Source organism: Homo sapiens, chromosome 14 (assembly GCF_000001405.40).
Source record: "Homo sapiens chromosome 14, GRCh38.p14 Primary Assembly".
Lineage (NCBI taxonomy): Eukaryota > Metazoa > Chordata > Mammalia > Primates > Hominidae > Homo > Homo sapiens.
Window position 1 is genome coordinate 96,200,209 of NC_000014.9, and position 20,613 is coordinate 96,220,821.

Genomic DNA, 20,613 nt, shown 5'->3' on the forward strand with positions numbered 1-20,613 from the left:
TGGGATATATTGAAGTACGGACATATATAACACTATATAATGAATATATGTAAACACACAGAAACATGGCATCAAATTCTTTTTTTTTTTTTTTTTTTAATTTGAGACACAGTTTCATTCTGTCACTCAGGCTGAAGTGCAGTGGCGCAATCTCGGCTCACTGCAACATCCGCCTCCTGGGTTCAAGGGATTCTTCTGCCTCAGCCTCCCAAGTAGCTGGGATTACAGGCTCCTGCCACCACACCTGGCTAATTTTGTATTTTTTAGTAGAGACAGGGTTTTACCATGTTGGCCAGGCTGGTCTCAAACCCCTGACCTCAAGTGATCCACCCGCCTGGACTTCCAAAGTGCTGGGACTACAGGCGTGAGCCACCGCGCCCAGCTGGCATCAAATTCTTAATCATCTCCAAGCTGTACACTTTTCAGTTGATTTTCACTTTTTATCATACACATTAAGTTCAAATAATAGAGAAACAATACATCCATATTATGTATATGATCAGCTGTTTTTTTTTGTTTTTTTTGTTTTTTGAGACAGAGTCTCACTCTGTTGCCCAGGCGAGACTGCAGTGGTGCAATTTCGGCTTACTGCAACCTCCACCTCCCAGGTTCAAGTGATTCTCCTGCCTCAGCCTCCTGAGTAACTGGCATTACAGATGTGTGCCACCATGCCTGGCTCATTTTTGTATTTTTTAGTAGAGACGGGGTTTTGCTATGTTGGCCAGGCTGATCTCGAACTCCTGACCTCAGATGATCCGCCTGCCTCGGCCTCCCAAAGTGCTGGGATTACAGGCGCGAGCCACTGCACCCAGCCATGACCAGCTTTTTTAAAAAGCTGCATTTTCATTTGGGGAAGGGGAAGACATGCCGATGGAGTCAGACTTGGACTCAGCTCTTGGCTCTGCTGTTTCCACTGTGCAGGATTTAGGCCAAGTTAAGTAACTCCTCTCAGCCTCTGATTCTCCATCTGTAAAATGGGGATACTGACTGGTAACCATCTCATCAGGCTGTTGTGAAGGGTCGTGTGCTTACGTAGGGCCTGCTACAGAGATCACTTGGCAGCGAGTCGCCATGCGGGGCTAGGGCTGGGGGGCTCATGCCTGTGCCAGAGGACAGTGCCCCCACAGGCTGTGCAGGAGGCCTCTGGGAAGGGAGGCCAGAGGCAGAGAAGGCAGGCCAGAGATGGCACGCATGGGCACATGGGCTGGGAGGCGCATTGGGGACGCAGAGGCTCTCTAGAGTTCTTAGCTGTGAGTGTTAGTGCCAATCAGGCAAAACTACAGGCTCTGCATGGGTTTTGCCATGAACCCAAATCAGCACTTATCCTCTGACCCTGCTTTCCAGTTTCCCTGCTGGTCTGTCTGACCTGTGTGTAACTGGTCAGCCTTTTGCAGGGCGGCTGCTGATTCACAGAGGACCAGGGAGTGCCTTTCTGGTCAGCACTGTGGCATTCTGGACAAAAGCACAGCCCGCTCCTGGAGGCCGACGAATAGAATAATGGCCTTCCCGGGAGGACCTGTGCCTTACACACAGACATGTGGAGAGAAAGATCTGGAACATTGGGGTGGAGGGTGGACTTTCATAAACAAACATGTACACACATGTCTACAGCCCGCTTTTATGCTGTTCTGTTTGGCCTGGTCTTTCCTTCATCCCAGTAAGGTTGGATCTGGGCACTTTTCCCTATAGACTGCTTGTACTCCTTGCAGAGGGCACCTCCTATGTGCCGGGTGATAAATAGCAATAAGTAAGACGGGGTCCTTGCCTCGTGGTGTTCTCAGACCACCAAGAACAGTTCCGGGGTGTGTTAGAAAACAGGCATGCAAGAGGTGCGGACAAGACCAGGGGCTTCAGGAAAGGCCCCCAGGCAGCCTCCCAAGAGAAGAGCAGGCTTGATTCAAGCGAGGGCGAGAAAGGGCATTTCAGGCAGAGATTGCCACATCAAAGGCCCCGGGTCAAGTGCAATCCTGCCCCACTCAGGAGTGCGAGGGGGGTCTGTGGGGCTAAAGTACAGAGGGCTGGCCGTGGCTGGGGAGGCTGCAGTGGCCGGGGAGGAGACAGCAGGAGGAACAGCTTCTTATCGTGCCATGTGAAAGAGCCCTGCTTAGTGGGGCAGGGTTTTGCCAAAATAACTGGATCCCTCCTGTGGTCCTTGCTGAACGCAGTTGGGCTGACTCGAACCTGGAGGCTTTACAGGGCTGAGCCACCCCCTGCAGACCCCAGCCAAGGAGACTGAGTGGTGAGGAGTGTGATGAGGCTGCCGCTGCAGGGACTTTGCAGGGGCGTTGAGACAAACCTTCTCATAGCAAAAATGCAGTACAAAAGTGTGCCACTCCAGACATAAACTGGGTGCTACTGAGTCCTCAAGGAACACTTTGAAATCCTCCGCCTGGCTCTGCCCATAGGCAGGGGACTGGCCTCAGGGTAAACTCCTCCGAGGCACGGGGATGTCTGAGGCATGGGGATGACTGATTCATTCACTTCTGCTTGACAATGCACTGCCTGGCTATGTGGGTATCTGATAAATGAGTGTGTGGGTGGATGGATGGAGGGAGGGAGGGAGGGAGGCAGTGAGAGAGGGAGGGATGGACTGATGGATGGACAGACAGACGGATGGATGGATGGACGGATGGACGGACAGATGGATGGATGGATGGATGGTTGGATGGATAGACGGATGGACAGACAGACAGGCGAATAAGTAAATGAATGGTTGGATAGGTGGATAGGCAGGTGGGCGGATGTGTGGGTAGATACCAGTGTAGATGAATGGAAGAGTGTGTAATTGTTTTATAAGATTAAAATATTCTTTTGATGGCAGGACACAACACAGTGACACTCAGATAAATGAAAGGTAGAACTTTTGTTTCTTACAGCTCCAAATGAGAGGCTGTCAGGCTGGGCCACACAGGATGTGCAACTGGGGACAGGGTCCAAGCAAGCTGGAGCTATAGGCGGCAGCTATGTGTGGCACGTAGGGTGGTGTTAACGAGGTTTCCTTGGCTCCCTATGGATTGGCTAACTTAAATAAGTTTGTGAGTTCCAGATGATGGGAGCTGTCCATTATTGTTTGGTACCTGGCTCCAAGGCCATCAGGGCAGGTGGCTAGTGGCCCAGAGTGTGAGAACCTGGTAAGAGAAAGGGCCAGAATGTGAACTTAATCAGCTGCTCATGAACTGGCTGGCCTCCAGCCAGGACCTCAAAACTGGTTTAAAGTAGCCTTTTTAAAAAACTATATGACAGAGATGGATGGAGATGTGTGCAGATGGACAGATGTCTTTTAGAGATTTCTGTCAATGATATTTACAGAAGCATCAACATTGGATTCAGATCCTTGAGGATTTTCAACTCATAGATACAGAGCTCTACAATATCTAAGTTGGAAGAGACTTCAGAGGGTCTCTGGACGCTCATGCAGGTCTCAATATGTTGTGGATCTCAGAGCTCTTCAATATTTTAGTGAAAGCTATAGATGAGGCTCCATAGGGGATAAAGCACAGACACACCTTTTCAGAGGGCTTGTGGACTCTGGGCAGCCTGTCCATAGACCTCTGTCCCCAACTGGCAAGTCAGGAAACTCCAGATTAAGGAGCCCCAATGTGGTTGAACAGCCAGGTGCACAGATGAGTCAACCACACAGCCAGGCCAGGGAGGGCCTTCACTCAAGAGCCTACAGCCAGTTCACAGCCAAGCCAGGGCTAGCGCCCAGGCCACCCATAAACTGATCTGAGACTCTGTTTCCCTGTCTCCATGATGATGGGATCAGGCTTGATTGCTGGTTTGTAGGCTTGTTATGAATCAAGTCACAGGGAAGAGGAGCTGATGGGCTGGGGGGACGTCCTCTGGCCCTCCTGTCTCTTCCCCAGATCCACTGGGCCCACTCTTATCTGTTCTCTTCTGAAGGAAGGGTTTTAAGGCTTCAAAAAAAAATGTTTTGAAAGTCCCTGCCCTTTCCAGCTCCTACCGTCTCAGCCCTGGGAGTGTAAAGTGCTGCAGATAGTTAGTAAGTCTTTGAGCAAAACTGAGAAAGCCAGCCTGAGCCTTGACATGGGAGAAACCTCCGCCATACATCTCCGAAGAAACGGCCGCGTGTCTCAGGGGAGCGCAAACACCCGTACCCAGGAAACAGGACAGCTTCTGCCACTGTCGCCCTTGGGAGCCGTACGTGGCATACAAAGAAATCCCAGGACTCCGCCTGCCCACCTGGCCACCCTCTGTTTACACCTTCCGCGTAAACGCCCACTGTTTACATCCAAAACTCAGACACAAAATAACCACCTCAAGAAGATAAATAATGATAAGAAATAAATGTTACGCGAGGCAAATTTATTCACATGGGGCTTCCCAGGCCACTTTGTGGTCAGCCGGGAGGGACGTTTTTGCCGTCCCACGACTCCAACGGGCAGCCGGGCTACGCAAACATGGAAATCTTCCAAGAGCCTCCCTGGCCCCCAGGGCTCAGAGGGTGGCAGAGCGGAGAGCGAAGGTGGCCGCAGCCTTCCCGGCCCCACAGCCAGCCTGGCTCCAGCTGGGCAGGAGTGCAGAGCTCAGCTGGAGGCGGAGGGGGAAGTGCCCAGGAGGCTGATGACATCACTACCCAGCCCTTGAAAGATGAGCTGTTCCCGCCGCCACTCCAGCTCTGGCTTCTGGGCTCCGAGGAGGGGTGGGGACGGTGGGGACGGTGGGGACATCAGGCTGCCCCGCAGTACCAGGGAGCGACTGAAGTGCCCATGCCGCTTGCTCCGGAGAAGGTGGGTGCCGGGCAGGGGCTGCTCCAGCCGCCTCACCTCTGCTGGGAGGACAAACTGTCCCAGCACAGAGGGAGGGAGGGAGGGCAGGCAGCGGGGAGAAGTTTCCCTGTGGTCGTGGGGAGTTGGGAAAAGTTCCCTTCCTTCCGGAGGGGAGGTCTGACAGGCGATGGGGAGAAGGGTTCCCAGCAGGAGGAATCGCCCTGTTTGTCTGTTGTAGGTTTCTCTTCTCTGAATCAAGGTGACAGACAGGCTTGTGTGTGTCCAGTGTGTGAGGGATTTCGTGATTGGATTTTCACATACTTTGAGTGGACACCTTGGAGTAAGGCAGCGAGGTGTGTGTGGTGCAGCAGGGACGGGTGCTGGGTGGAGGCTCCAGAACCTGGCTTTTCACCCACAGCTGTGCCACTCCTTGGCCCTGTGTGACCCTGGACAAGCTATTCAACCTCTCTGAGCCTCAGTTTCTCTGTCTGCAAAGCAGCCAGCTCGCTGGCTCCCTGGGGGTGGCAGGGTTAAATCAGAAGCAGGCGGGGGTGGGGGGGTTTGTGAATGTTGGCTGATGCGCCTCCAGGAGGCAGGTGGTAGTGACTACCTCAGATGGGCTTAGAGACCCTCTTCCCACGGTCCTGGCTGACCAGGGCAGGGGGATAGGATGGTGCAGGGGTTCCAAGCACCGGCTTTGCATCCGGCCCAGGTTGCAGCTCCAGCCCTGCTCTCACCCTGTGGGTGACGTTTTTGGGCGAGTTATTTTGTCCTGTCTCCTGAGCTATAAAGAAGACCTGGAAGTTCCTCTTTATGCAAAGATAGAGGTAGGCTCTTGCCTGTGAAGCACCACGTATGTCATAGGCACTAAATAAATGGCAGCCGTGATTCGAGTTGCTGAGAGTAGGTCGTTTCCGCAGCCTGGGTGGAGGTGAACAGCAGGTGTTGCTGTTCCAGGCAGGTCAGAATGTGCCTCACTGAGTCACAGGCCGCCTGTGGCTCCCCAGCCTACAGGAAGTGGGAGCCCTGGCCTGGGTGTGGGGTGATGGGGGCCTCCCTGGCCAACCCCGCCCCTAATTCCATTTCTGAGTTGGAGAAGGGCTTAGGTGGTGGGGGAACAGGTAAGCAACCCCAGAGGACATTGCAAAGAGGCCCTGCCCGAGGTTCTCTGGAGAAAAAACTGTGCTGCGTCCTTCGGGCCCTGGCAGCAGCAAGAGACATTCCACAGTTGTGAGCCCCACAAGCTTGGAGGAAGCATTTGCTGTTTCCCCTGCTTGGGGTGAGAGCAGGGGACAGCCAAGAGAAGGCGTCTTTGGATGAAAAAGAGGAAGCATGCGTGCTGTCCCCACAGGCAGCACCCCAGGCCTCATCCCAGCTCTCCCTGCAACCCTGCACTCCAAGCCTCTCACTGCACTGATGAGGAAACTGAGTCTCAGAGGGGGAACATGACCTCAGCCAGCCCTTCGCTCAGTGTCCAGGGAAATGCCTCAATCTCTTTGGGATTCCCTCCCTTGCAAACGGGGAGGTTCCCATGGTTGGGCCTGCATGATGGATCTGAGGACTTTGAAAGTGGTATTTGCCTGCCGGTGGGACCCAACCTGGAAATATTAGGTTGGTGCAAAAGTCATCTCGGTTCTTGCCATTAGAAGTAATGCCAAAAACCGCAATGACTTTTGCACCAACCGAATAGCTGTGCCACGTGGTTTTTGCTAACACAGTGACTGGCTCAGTAACAAGTTTGGTGGCTCCAGAGGTAACATTAGGGCGGCCTCCTCACCTGTGCTGCTTGTGGTCAGGGAGGGGCCCACCTGGGCGCGGTGGGGGGAGCCCTGCAGATTTGCCCAGTGTCATAGCCTGTTTGAGCTGCTATAAGAAATACTTTAGACTGGGTAATTTATCAAAAAACAGACATTTATTGCTCTCGGTGCTGGAGGCTGGGAAGCCCGAGATCAAGGCACTGGCAGATTGGGTGTCTGGTGAGGACCTAGTCGTCATAGATGGCACCTTCTATGCATCCTCATATGGTGGAAGGGTGAACACGCTCTCCCAGGCCTCCTTTAAAGACCACCAATCCCATTCACAAGGAGGGGGACCTCATGATCTAATCTCCCCCCAGAAGTCTCACCTTTTAATATCACCAGCTTGGAGATTAAGTCTCAACAGGTGAATTTTGGAGGGACACAGGCATTTGGATCATAGCACCGGGGGACTCTGGTTTTCAGAATGAAAGTAGGGGCCTTGTCTATCCGCTCAAGCTGCCTCCTCTGCACTGAAAACGATGCCTAGCCCAACATGGATGGATCAGTGTTTGCTGAAATGCTGAATGGTTAAATGAATAAATAAATATTGCTCATATAGCAGGCAATAAAAAAGCATACAGAACCTATCACTAAGTGAATGAAGCTACTCTGAAAAGGCATATGCTGTATGATTTCAACTATATGTGACATTCTGGAAAAAGGCAAAACTATGAAGACAGTAAAAAATAAAAAAAATCAGTGGTTGCCAGGAATTAGGGGAGGGAGGAGAGAATGGGAGGAGCCCAGAGACTTTTAGGGCAGTGAAACTTCTGTATGACACTGTAATGGTAGAGGCATGTCATTGTGCGTTTGTGCAAACCCACAGAATGTCCATCACCAAGAGTGAACCCTGATGAAAACTATGGACTTTGGGTGATGATGATGTGTCAACGCAGGTTCATCAATTACAACAAATTGACTGCTCTTGTGGGGGATGTCAGTAACGGGGGAGGCTACGTATGTGTAGGCACAGGGGATATATGGTAAGTCTCCGTACTTTCTGCTCAATTTTGCTGTGAATCTAAAACTGCTCTTTAAAAAAAAAAAGGCACACAGAGCAGATCTGCATGTTGTTTTGAGGATTCAGAAGGCACTTAGGACAATTACGGTACCTCAGGGTCATGAGTCAAACAATCAGACCTGCCAAGACTTGACACCCCAAATGCATCACTTCTGACATCCATTGGGTCCAGGAATCCCCTGCCTCATGAATATCCATCTTAGTGTGCATGCCTCCAAGAATGGGGAGCTCACTACTTTGCGAGGCAGCGCATTCCATCTTAGGAGAGTTCTACTGTTTAAAAGCTCTTCCTCCAACTGCCCCCACTGAGCAATGGGTCCACTTTCATTTCCTTGGGGTTTGTACCATTCTAGTCCTATTGCTTCTCTCTGAGCTAAATATCCACAGCTACTAAATCTGCCCCCCTTGAAAAGTGTTAAATCCTCAATTCCTCCTCTGAGCTCCTCTGGTTTTCCTGGGGACCTAAGGCTCTGCTTCCCCAAAACACCCACTCCAGGGTTGTTTTCTAGAACAAACGTAAGGCATGAAGTATTTCTTTGACTCTTTCATCACAGTGGGTTCTGGAAGATTCTGGAGGCTGGAAACATATGTGCCTCCCCCTCCCCACACACATTCCAAAAAAGTCATCACAGCAGAAAGCACGGTGGAACAAACAGCTCTCGGTTCGAATTCACCGTCACTTACTGGCCAGGAAAGTTATCTGAGCCTCAGTTTCTTCTCCTGTACAATGGGGAGCATCATTCCTATTTTTGAGGACCACTAGGAGGCTTACCTCTGTTTGTGCTGATGTAGTGAAAGGGGATGTCAGGCACACTGCAGGAGCTCAGGTACCAGACGGACTGTCTATGGAGGCAGGAGTGAGGGCCTGGGGCGGTCACAGAGGTTGCATTTGCTTTGCAGTAAGGCCATGGCCGCTTAAGGGTGTCCAGAAAAAAGCCCTGTCCGACATGCACACACTCCTGTGTCCAGGCAATGAGCCTGTGGGCACTGACAGCAAGAGTCCTTCTCACGCTTCTCTTCAGGGCTCAAACTTTAGATTTACTCCGGCCTGTCCCATCCCATTCACTGCCAACCCCTCTGAGCCTCTCTGATCTGTGCCACCGGTGAAGGGCAGTCGTGGGGCACAGAGAAGTGGCCCAGCTGAGTGACATCTGGAAATGAGCAGTGCCTGAGGGGACGCCCGTGGGGTGTTGTGACCTGTACAGTGCCAGGCTCCAGCACAGCCCCGTCGCTTCTGTGGTTCTTATCATGGTCATGAGGTCGCTTCTCCTCTTCCCTGCGGGTTTCCTAAGTGGTCACACTCCAGTGGCAGGGTGGTCTGCCGGAGAAAGACCAAAATTTGTCATACTTTAGAATCACCTGGAGACTGGTCACCCACGCAGGTGCGGGGGTCCTGCTCTGGGGACTGTGATTTGAAGTCTGGGTACTATTCACTGAAATGACAGACTGCGGCAAATCTCAATCAATCAAGGTTCATCGAGTTGATAAACTTCAATTGACATTTATCGAGAGTTTGAGGGTGCACCTGGGAAAAACATGAGCCACAGAAAATGTGTGTGGCCTATGCTCTCCGAAGAGTCATGAGACTTAGTGTTGTAAATCAAAGAGAAACTGACTGAAGCAGGTCTCAATTATTTTTGAAGTTTATTTTGCCAAGATTAAGGATGCACCCAGGAAAGAGGGACACGAAATCACAGGAAACATCTCTGGCCCATGCTTCTTTCAAAGAAGGGTCTTCACTATTCAAAGGGAAAAAAGCAGGCAGTAGGGGAAAGAAGGAAAAATCGGGGGAAGGTGGCCAAAAGAGGCAAGCAGTTGCACCCCTTTGAGCCTTTTCATTAACTTCACTGAATGCACATTTTTCATGTGAAAGAAGCAGGTGGAGGAATCATCAATTCCGCATTCACCTGGTGCTCAGTCAATCTGCATTTTTATATAAGATAAAATAATCATAGGGCTGGGCACGGTAGCTCACAACTGTAATCCCAGCAGCTTGGGAGGCCAAGTTGTGTGGATCACCTGAGGTCAAGAGTTCGAGACCAGCCTGTCCAACATGGTGAAACCCTGTCTCTACTAAAAATACAAAAACTAGCCAGGCACGGTGGTGCATGCCTGTAGTCCTAGCTACTTGGGAAGCTGAGGCAGGAGAATCATTTGAACTCAGGAGGCAGAGGTTGCAGGGAGCTGAGATCACACCACTGCACTCCAGGCTGGGTGACAGAGCAAGACTCTATCTCAAAATAATAATAATAATAATAATCATCATCATCATCATCATAGCATATAGGAAGCTGTCAGCTATGCACTCGTCTCAGGTGAGCAGAGGGATGACTTTGGGTTCTATCCTTTGTTCCATACCTGTGAAGCTAAGCTGTTAATTTATATCATGAGGGTGAAATACAACAGAGCTGCTTGAAGGCAAAGATCCTGGGGCCCACAAGGAATTTCACTGTGAGCAAAATGTGAGGGAAGTAAATAGTTATCCATTTAGACACAAAACGGGAGGCGGGTTGCATGACCCAGCTCCCAGCTAGACTTTTCCCTTTGGCTTAGTGCGTTTGGGGTCTGGGGATTTTAATTTTATTTTTCTTTCACAGTATTTACACATGTCCTTGAAGTGGAGAAAGCATGTAGGAAGAGGAGGTTAGGCAGAAGGAGGCCTGATCTCATCTTGCCTTTGTCTTGCTTTTATGCTGTACCTGGGGAGATCAGCACCATCAGCGTGACTCTAACAGACTTGAGTGTGAGGAGCTAGGCTTGGATTGCAGACCTCAAGTTACAATTGATGTGTCCTTGTTTTGTGGTAAGATCCACATCTTGAAAGGTTTCACCCAGCAAAGAACAATTTGTGGGGGCAGTCATGGGGAGATATCCGAGGCCTTTTCCTTTCTGTGGGGGTCTGGCTAATGTCTAAGGTTGTGGAGTAACAGCTGTCATTAGGAATAAGGATGACAATGTTGGCTGACTCAGTCTCCAGGCTTAACTTTCCCTTTGGCATAAAGAGTTTGGGGGTCCCAAGATTTCTGTTTTCCTTTACAGTACTCAAGGACTTGCTAATATCTCAGGGGATTTCAGCCACACTTTGAAACAAGCTACCTTAGCAAATGGTCTGTCCTGGACCCAAAAGCCACTCTCCTCAGGCCCTTCCTCCTAGTCCCACCAGCCAAAAAACTTGGGGACCCCAAACCTGTTCTTCACTCTCTGGCACCTGTGCTCATGTGCCTGCTGCCTCAGGAAAGGACAGAAACCCTCCCCGATCCAAGTTATTAGCAAACTGCCCATCTCCACAAAAATTTAAATGGACAGATTGTTAAATGCACACAGCTCACAGCCAGCTCCTTTCAAGGTAGATTTGGGCCCAAACATTTCGGGAAGCATCAGGCTGTGCCCCGCCATCCCTACCAAACAGGAATCCTCTCGAGGGAAAAGACTGGGCCTTTCCCTCAGCCCCTAGCACCCACTCATGCTTGGCACCTGCTGTGCTCTAAGAGTGCAGGGGTCACTCCCTGACCACAGAGGGAGGCTCTCTGGGGTTCTCCCGGAGCCTCGGAGATTGCACCTTGTGCATGCGCTGCTGCACCTGGGGTACATCACCCCCACTCTGGAGCCCACTGGCCGGTTAGCAAAGTGAGAGGTGAGAGAAGGACCTCTTGGTCTTCTTTGAACAGAAAGATCCAGAAAGCAATGGCTAGAACACAAGAACAGGTCAGGGGAGGCAGGAGAGGGTCTGCACACCTGCTACAGGTGTGCTCACACGTGGGCCAGGGCCTGCAGATGAGGGATCTGTGCTGATCATTTGTGATAGCCAAAAGTAGTGAAAACCTGGGGGGACTCCTCAAATGAACTGTAGCACATTGGGGAGATGGACTCTGTGAAGATGATTCCTCTCTCCACCCACTTCCCTTCTCCCTCCTCCTCCCGCTCCTCCTTTTTCGGAAGCCAGGCACAGGGATTGAATCCCACCCCATTCCTCCCCTGCTGTGTGACCTAGGGCAAGAGATGTGGTCTCTGGGATCCTTCGGTTCCTTCAGCTATAAATAGTAGTAGAATTGCAAACTACCTACGAAAACTGGGAACTCCCTGCGAAGGCCGGTGCATTACAGGGCAGTCCTACTCTGAAATACTGTGAGGCTATTGAAAAGCAAGGTGGGTCGACAGATTGTTAAATGCAAAGAGGTGAGGACACAGCCGGCGGTGCATTTAGGGTGCTTCTGCAGGCGTCCTTATACATGGATATGTGCACATCTGCTCCTGAAAGCTCAGAAGATGTCTGGAAAGCAACAGGAGACACCAGTGAGCCTGGCTGTCTCTTGAGGCAACAGGCAGGGACAGAATCTGGAGGGAGACCTACCCCTCACTGTATTCTTTTTCGCACTCTGAAATGTTACCATGAGGATGCATATCTCTTTGCAAAAATTTAAATATAAAAAGCAAAACAAACTTGAATAGAAATAAACTACTTGAAAATTTTAGAAAACACTGTTACATCAAAGAGACAGATCATCAAAACTGAAATTATAGATATTTGAGAAACAACTAACTATAAGAACACTGCTTACCAAACTTATGGGATGCAGCCAAAGCCATAGTCAGGGGATGAGTCATGCCTTTAAATTTTTAAATTATTAAACCAAAAAGATTGCAAAAAAAAACTGTTCAATTCAATAAACTAGATAATAATGATCCAAAAAAGTAGAAGAAAGAAAAGAATTACAAAAACAAAATGACAAGTTAGAAAGGTAAAAAGCATTAATGTCAGTAGGCCATCTAAGGATGGCTCTTTGAAGAGCAGACAGGAGAAGGGCAATCCCAGGAAGTGCTATGTGCTATGCAGAGAATTAGAATAAGTTGATGGCAGAGATCAGTGGGTGGCGGCTCACTTGGGTGGTAAAGAGTAGCCTGCAGCCAAAGTTGGGCACAGCAGTGCAGTCTTCACTGGGGGAATGCCTGGGAAACAAGATTTGCCTGGGTAGGAGTTTCCATCAGCACCCCCAGAAAGGTCTCCTTTCTACCCTGGCCCCCAGTTCTTTGATGGGTTTTGCTGATGCTCCTGTGTCTCTGAACAGCAGGCGCCTCACCTATAGAAAGGTAGGATAGCAGGAGTTAACGCCCCCTCCCCCATTCCATGGCCCCTGCCTGGGATTCTACCATCTCTGCTTCATATGCTTTATAGGAGTTCGGTCTGAGCCCACAACCCAAACAGGCTCACAGATGTGCTAGCTATTTCGCCACCAGTATTTTTTTAATAGTCAATATTTAGAAATTGGCACCAACTGGCCCGATTGTTCAACAGTCCTGGGTTAGGTTACTAGGCCAATTACTTGCTGAGTAACCCAGGACAGGTCACTGACCTCTCCGAACCTCTCCTTTCTCACCTGTGTGATAAAGACTACTGCTGTGCCAACACAATAGGACTGTGTATGAAAGTACCCAGACTGTGCCTAGACTCAGGAAGCTGGTTTATTCCTTCCTCCCCTAACCACTTACTGAGAGACTGCTCAGGGCTCCCCTCAGCTCAGAGATCTTTCCCCACAAGGAGCTGAGAGCCTGGTGGGAGAGACAGGCAGAGACCCAAGTGGTTCTAACACAGCTCTCTGAATCTGTAACCCCAAGTCCCATCCCCAGAGGACACTGGGACAGTCACACTGATGGTTTGTCCCTAAGCCTCCAGCATCAGGAGCCATGTGGCAGGATCTCCACTCTTCTTCTTCCTGGGCCTCTGTCTGGACCGACCCAAACACACACACACACACACACACACACACACACACACACGTGTACACACACAAGTTGCTTCTTTGCTGCCTGCATGTCCTCACACCAGCTTATGACACACCTACAATGTTTGATGTGTCATTGTGGGCAGGTTTCAAGTTGGAGGACCTAGACCTAGGTAAAGTAGAGGGTCTCCCTAAGTAAGGGAGGGTGCACAGTGGAGAGAAAGGGTAGGGGAGACTGCCCAGTGCCATTGACATATGCCTGAGCCCCAGGGCACCCTTGGCCCCCCAAAACAATCACAAGTATCCCCCCCGACAAACCTGCCAAGTAGGCATTGTGTCTCCACTTGACAGTTGAGGAAATGGTCCCTAGAGGGGAGACAGAGCTAGCTAGAGACTGGGCTGGCCCTGGAGCCTGGCCTGGGTCTTCCCATCGCATCCTGCCTCCCTACATAAGCAAAGGTCGAGAGGTGGGAACTCCCAAAGATGCTCAGGCAGGGCCAGGGGAGACCAGTGGGGCAGGGAGGGGACAGGAGGGGAAGGAGGAGCTGGGGCTGGAGAGATGGGTAGGAGCATGAGTCCCTTGCCTGGGCCTCCCCATGGTGGGCGGTGATCCAAAAGCCCCAGTCAGAGCCCTCTGCCCTGTGACGGGGGCACCCTGCATGTCCCCTCACTCCCTGCCCTCCAGTCCCCGCCAGTCCTCATGTTTTCCATGAGGATGAGTACAGCCGCAGGGACTTTCCCTGCAAGTGGTCTGGGCCATATCTTCCGGGAGTCTGTTTGGACTGTGGTGTCTGTGGCTGAGGGGGTGGAGGTGAGGGCACCCAGGCCCATCACTTGACAGAACAATCTGTGGATTTGGGGGAAAGAGGAGGCGACTGTCATTCCTGAGAGAGGACGGGAACCAACAGGAAGGATTCCTGAGTGCCAGGGATGACCACACTGGATCCTCACAACAGCCCTCCTGCCGGGGACAATGCTCCTTATCCCACAAGCGGGGACCTGGGCTCTGACAGGAGGCCACACACTTACAGTCCCTCCCTTAGTGACCGGCAGAGCTGGGATTTGAACACCCCTGGTGAGACTCCCTCGTCCAGACCCCTTCGTTGTACAGCAGGTTTGCCTCACATGCCAGAGTCGGGGTGGCCTCAGGGCACAGCCAGGAGATGTCCCCAAATCCCGAAATGTGGTTTGAGTCCCAGTCCCTCATCTCTCCAGCCTCCAAGCCCTCACCTATGCAATGGTGCCTTGCCCGGCTCACAGGTTATGAAAAGGGGTGAGACGAGACAGTGTCCCCTAAATACATCTGACAGCACTTTTGAATGGAAAAGAGAAAAAGAAAATACTATAAGCATCCAGATTGACTGGAGGTTGGGGAGTTGGTGGGGGCGGGGACAGGCAATCCATAAAGCAAGAAAAATCAGGCTGGGTTCAGGCTTTTCTGCAGCAGCGAATGCATCAGAGCTGCCAGGGGGGCAGCTGTAGACCTAAGAGAGTTCCTTTAAGCACAAATTGGCTGATTATCTTTTTTACGTAAATAAACCCATAATTCATTCCAAACACTTGGCTTATTTAAATATTTTTATTGCCAAAGGAATATATGTTCTTCACAGAAAACTTGGATACCATGACAAACAGTAAAGAAAACCCAAAAGCAACCTATGATCCCATGCTCAAAGACAACCAGCGCCAGTAATAATTTGGTATTTTGCCTTCTCAACTTTTGAACTTTGTTGTATGTACAATTTGGTTACCCAGCTTTTTGTTCCCCTAACATGTTATCAGAAACATTCTCTCATTTTTGGTGAACTCTTAGAAGCATCCTTTTTTCATGTCTGCTTGACATTTGTTGAATGGATATAAGATCATGTATTTAACCAACTGCCTGGTCCTAAACATTTAGGTTGTTTCCTGTGACCCTTCTTCTGCATGATGAGGAACATCTCTGTGCATAAAGCTTTTCCTGTCCTTTTGATTATTTTCAAAAATGCCAAACAAAAAAAAAAGGGAGGGGGTTGAAGGTTCTGGGTTTTCTTCACTGAATTATCCAAATATTAAATGATCTAGAGACAGGTTTGGGAGCCACTAAACCCTCTCCTCCTGTCTGACCCTATTCAGAGAAGACATTGGAAGCTGCCATCTGCTTTCCTCTCACAGTCTGTAAGTGGCTCATTAAATACTTGCAAACTAGATTATTTTTATGTTGTCTTGGCTACAGGAGTTTCTGCAGGAATCAGAAACAGGAAGAAAAGGCAGGTCCTTGGAGACAGAGGAGCTGGCATCTCATCAGATGCAATTTCTTATTAATAGTCATCCCTAACATTGATTCGGCATCTACTAATAATCAATCCCTTCTTACAGATAAGGAAACTGAGTAGCAATAATCTATCCCATCTTACAGATAAGGAAACTGAGACTCAGAGAGGTTAAGGGCACTGCAGTAAGCGCAGACACAGAGCTATGACTCCCGTTCTCCCTGTGTCAGCCCCTGCGCAGTGCGAGTGGGAGGTGAGCCACTGTTGCGTGCCCTCTGCCAGACACAGGCCTGCAGGTCAGACTCACAGGAGCCAAGCAGAGCATCTGGGAGGATTTTGTTTCTGGCTCCAAAAATGAAATACCAAGGAAAGTAGGCAAGCTCATGCATGTCAGAATCCTCAATCTCAGCTCAGGAAGTAGGAATTTTCCACCTTTGTTAGCAGCAGAGATGACAAACCCCAGGGCCCCACATATAGCCTGTGCCTTAGTCACTGCCTCGGGCCAGGTTGCAAGACCCCTCCTACCAACTGAGCTACAAATCACAGTTCCTGGAGGGTGGGCCTTTATATAACAGGGAACAGAACTCTTCTGTACCTCCCACCTCCCCGCAAGAAGTAGGCCAGGCATGGTAGCTCATGCCTGTAAATGAAGCATTTTGGTAGACCAAGGTAGGAGGGTCACTTGAGGCCAGGAGTTCGAGACAAGCCTGGGCAAGATCCCATCTTTAAAAAAAAATTTAAAAATTAGTGAGCTGTGGTGGCAGGAGCTGTGGTCCCAGCTGCTTGGAAGGATGAGGTGGGAGGATCGCTTGAACCCGGTGGGTAGAGGCTATGGTGAGTTATAATTGTACCACTGCACTCCAGCCTGGGCAACAGAGCAAGATCCTGTTTCAACAAAAGAAAAAGAAGAGAGAAGAGGAAGAAAGAAGGAGGAGAAGAGGAAGAAGAAGGAGGAGGAGGAGGAAGGAGGAGGAAGGAGGAGGAAGAGGAAGGAGGAGGAGGAAGGAGGAGGAGGAGGAAGGAGGAGGAGGAGGAGGAAGGAGGAGGAGGAGGAGGAGGAGGAAGTAGGAGAAGAAGAAGGAGGAGGAGGAGGAGGAGATCCTACAGCACTGTTTGGAAGATTATGGGAAAATTAGGCCCACACATCTGATATACAATCGGCACATCCTACAAATGTAAAATGTGTGTCTTGAACCAGAAAGCCCAAGGAGTGAGGGGCTGTGGCATTGAGTGGGGTAGCTATACATAGCCCTAGGGCTTAAATCTATAGAATTTAAGTAATCCTGGTCCAAATTCACCAGAAACATTGCCTAGACTTTACTTGAATACCTTTAGTGACAGGGAACTAACTACTACCAAAGGCAACTAACTCAGCTCAGCAAACATTCAGTGATAGCTGCGCTTCCCCAGGACCAGAGATTCAGATAAGCAAACACCCTGTTCTGTGCTCAAGGGACTGATGGTGTGTGACAATCGAGATAGTGTGAAGAAAAAGGACAGCATATGTGTGTCTCTGTGCATGCATGTGCAAACACTGACACTGCAGTATGTATTCAGAGGAAGTCACTACAATGGTGAGGCCCACCTGGCACCAGAATGAACAGATTTAAGAAAGCTAGTCACCGCAGACGGTCACAGCTGGAAGGATTTTACAAAATAATCTATCTTATCATCCTCCTTTGCCCTAGAGATGGGGAAACTGAGGCCCAAAGAGTGAAAGCCACCTGCTCAAAGGCATATTGTTGAGTCTAATAATAAAAATAACCATAGCAATAGCAACACTGAGGGCAGCTGTCCCAGATGGACGCTGGCTCCATGCCAGCCCCTGGGCTAGGCGTCTGGTGGCACTACCTCATTTCACTGCCATAACAACTGGGTCCCCCATCTTGCAGATGAGGAAGCCCAGGTTCAGAGAGGTGAAGTGGGGGGCTGGGGGTCTATCCCAGACCTTGTTGTCACCTCCTCACTCTCCCAGTAGCGCCAGCCAGAGCACCTGTCTTGGGAGCCCCGAGGCAGGGACAGGCTATGCATCCAGGAAGCCCCCAGGCTCTAAGGAGGCGGCCCTATAACTGCTGGATGACCAAAAATCAGGCAGCGATCCCTAAGTCCCTTCTGAGCCCCAGGCTCCAGACTCCTCCAACCAGGTCTGCCTTACGCTTTTGACCACAATCAACCCGGCTCTTTCTCGGTTCTTTTCATCTCTCTGGTGGTTTTGTATGCAGAGTCACCCAGGTCCCCACTTACGAGCCTGTGAGATGGGATAAATCACTTCCCTTTGCTGAGCCTCAGTTCCTTCACCTGTAAATGGGCATAACAAGTTCCTCCAGGACAATCGTGAGGCTCAGGGAAAGGACTGTCGTGCAAACCCACCATGGCATGAGCTGTCGAGTGCAGTGCCCGCTGCCACTAAGGAATGAGTGCCACTCTGGGATTGTGGAAAGTGCAGACGGGCAGGGTTGAGATGCTCGTGCATGACTTTGGACAGGTCACCTCCCTCTCAGAGGTTTAGTTTCCTTACTTGTTAAGCTTGGACTAAAAATATCTAAATGGTGAGATTTTTCCAACTTCTTTGGCTCTAGCATGTCTGTGGTCCTTGATGGTTTACAAAGCGCTTTTGCACTTGAGACCCCTAAGTGCTAATTCTACCACATCCCCATCCACTTCATAGTGGGATGACCTTAGCCAAGGCTCTTCACCTAAACCTCCATAAGCCCCTCGCTGGAATTTGAGCCTGTTTTGCTTTTTTAAAGTGAGGGCAATGCTACTGGCCCCACCCATCTTACAGGACAAGGGAAGCCCAAGGACATGAGAGCTTTCTGAGCTGCATCCCAGGCCCTGCTCTGCCACTGACTCGCTGAGGCTGGGTTTCCCCATCTGCAAAATAAGGACATAAAAACCCATCTAGAGCTGGGCATGGTGGCTCATGCCTGTAATCCCAGCACTTTGGGAGTCCAGGGCAGGCAGATCACTTGAGGTCAAGAGTTCGAGACCAGCCTGGCCAACATGGTGAAACCCCATCTCTACTAAAAATACAAAATATTAGCCAGGTGTGGTAGCTCATGCCTGTAATCCCAGCTACTAGGAAGGCTGAGGCAGGATAATTGCTTGAACCCAGGGGACGGAGGTTGCAGTGAGCCAAGATCACGCCACTGCACTCCAGTCTGGGTGACAGAGCGAGACCCCATTTCAAAAAAAACAAACAAACGAACCAAAACAAATAAAAACCCATCTAGAGTGTTGTGGGGATTAAATGAGTTAATATCTGTGAAGTGCTTTGAACAGAGCTGGCACGGCCGGGCACGGTGGCTCACGCCTATAATCACAGCGCTTTGGGAGGCCAAGGCAGGGATCACTTGAGCCTAGGAGTTCAAGACCAGCCTGACCAACATGGCAAGACCCTGTCTCTACTAAAAATACAAAAATTAGCAGGGCGTGGTAGCATGCTGCTGTAATCCCAGCTACTCAGAAGGCTGAGGCAGGAGAATCGCTTGAACCCAGGAGGCGGAAGATGCAGTGAGCCAAGATTGCGCCATTGCACTCCAGCCTAGGTGACAGAGCGAGACTCTGCCTCAAAAAACAAGAACCAAAAACCCCTTAAGAGAAATGGGGTTTTCTCTTATGAGAAAAATAAATATCTCCGGTGTTTCCTCTGACTTGCCCAGGGCTGCACAGCTCACAGGGGAGGGGTGGGGACCGGGACCTGGCACTTGGCTCCTGCTGCTCTGCCCTATGCCCTTGGGGACTTCTGGACAAGGGTGGGCTTCTCTGGGCTGACAGAGGAGACAGAGGCAATGGTGTGCTGGTAAATGGTTAACAACTGGCTCTCTGGAAAAAAATGCCCTAACTGTAGCAAAAAAAAAAAAGAGACTAGAACTGGCACATTGCAGATGATATAGGCATTTGCTGTCACTATCAGCATCAGCATCATTACTTGTCCTTTCAACAAATATTTCCTGAGCCCCTGTCGTAGGCCAGGCCCAGTGCTAAGAGGTGGGGACACAGTGGAGGGAAGACAGAAAGTTAAGTGTGCTGTTTCCATAAAGTGTGCTGACAGCCATATAGGAGCACTGGGGCTGGGGTGTCTCTACGGTGCCTGGGAGGGTCTCCTAGAGAAGGTGACATCAAGCAGGTTCTGAAGGATGAGTAGGAGTTGGAAGGAGTTGGAAGAGCTCCTGCCCTTTGTGGAGCAGGAGAGGGAGGTGGTCCAGGGACCTTTCTGGCCGACCAAGCCTAGAGCCAATTGCAGTGAGCCATTGTGACATTGGACTTGAAACTGGTCACTGCGAGAGTATTTATACCATAGAAATTTGCAAATGCTACGGTTAGGGCATTTTTTTCCAGAAAGCCCGTTGTTAACCATTTACCAGCACCCCACTACCTCTGTCTCCTCTGTCAGCCCAGGGAAGCGCACCCTTGTCCAGAAGTCCCCAAGGGCATAGGGCAGAGCAGCAGGAGCCCAAGTACCAGGTCCCAGCCCCCACCCCTCCCCTGAGAGTTGTGTGGTCCTGGGCAAGTCAGAGGAAATGCCGGGGGTATTTATTTTAAAAAGTGTCTATCAGGACTCTACATTATGCCAGGGGTCTCAAAGGTGAAAGAGGCATGAGTTTGTCCCTCAAGCAGCTCAGGAGGAGCTGGAGGAGGTTTCCTAGGCACGAGCTTATCCACACCATGACACATAGACCCTGAAGTGTTTTAAATCAATTACAAAAAGCAAAAATACAAGGAAGCTGACAGATCTTTACTTTGGGAGAAGTGGAGGCTTGGGAACAAATGAGATCATCAAGGTCTTTTTGTCCGTTTTCTAAGGAGTTGGGGTCATTGGCTGAGATCCTGCAGATCTGGAGGTACCAACATGAGACTCCGAGGGCCACCTCCTCTGCCCCTCCCTCCCCACCCCCTTTAAGGCCCTCTCTGGAATCCATCCCTTTTCCTCCATCTCCCCAGACCTGGCTGAGGCCTCCGTTGTGCCTCTGGTCTGGTGCCTCAGCCCCCTCGCTTCCTGCTTCCAGATTTTGCCAACTGCCCCCCACCTTTGACCATGTCCAGGCATCCTGGCTCAAAAGCCAAGATGAGATCTATACTTGAGAGCGT

General features: G+C 50.4%; 1 protein-coding gene across 2 annotated transcripts in view, besides 1 other annotated feature; it reads left to right on the top strand.

Moving 5' to 3' along the window:
* Positions 4,092–4,967: an enhancer, noted in NCBI's record as "H3K4me1 hESC enhancer chr14:96670637-96671512 (GRCh37/hg19 assembly coordinates)". NCBI's record gives its function as "activates a minimal SCP1, AML or CMV promoter by ChIP-STARR-seq in naive H9 embryonic stem cells {active_cell/tissue: H9 hESC(naive)}" and the evidence as "EXISTENCE:reporter gene assay evidence [ECO:0000049][PMID:30033119]".
* The window catches only part of BDKRB2 (bradykinin receptor B2), a 39,326-nt gene continuing 23,343 nt past the window's right edge, over positions 4,631–20,613 (top strand). For both annotated transcript variants that reach the window (NM_001379692.1, NM_000623.4), the window contains exon 1: positions 4,631–4,751. The gene's annotated coding sequence lies outside the window, so the exon portion shown is untranslated. The remainder of the gene's footprint in view (positions 4,752–20,613) is intronic.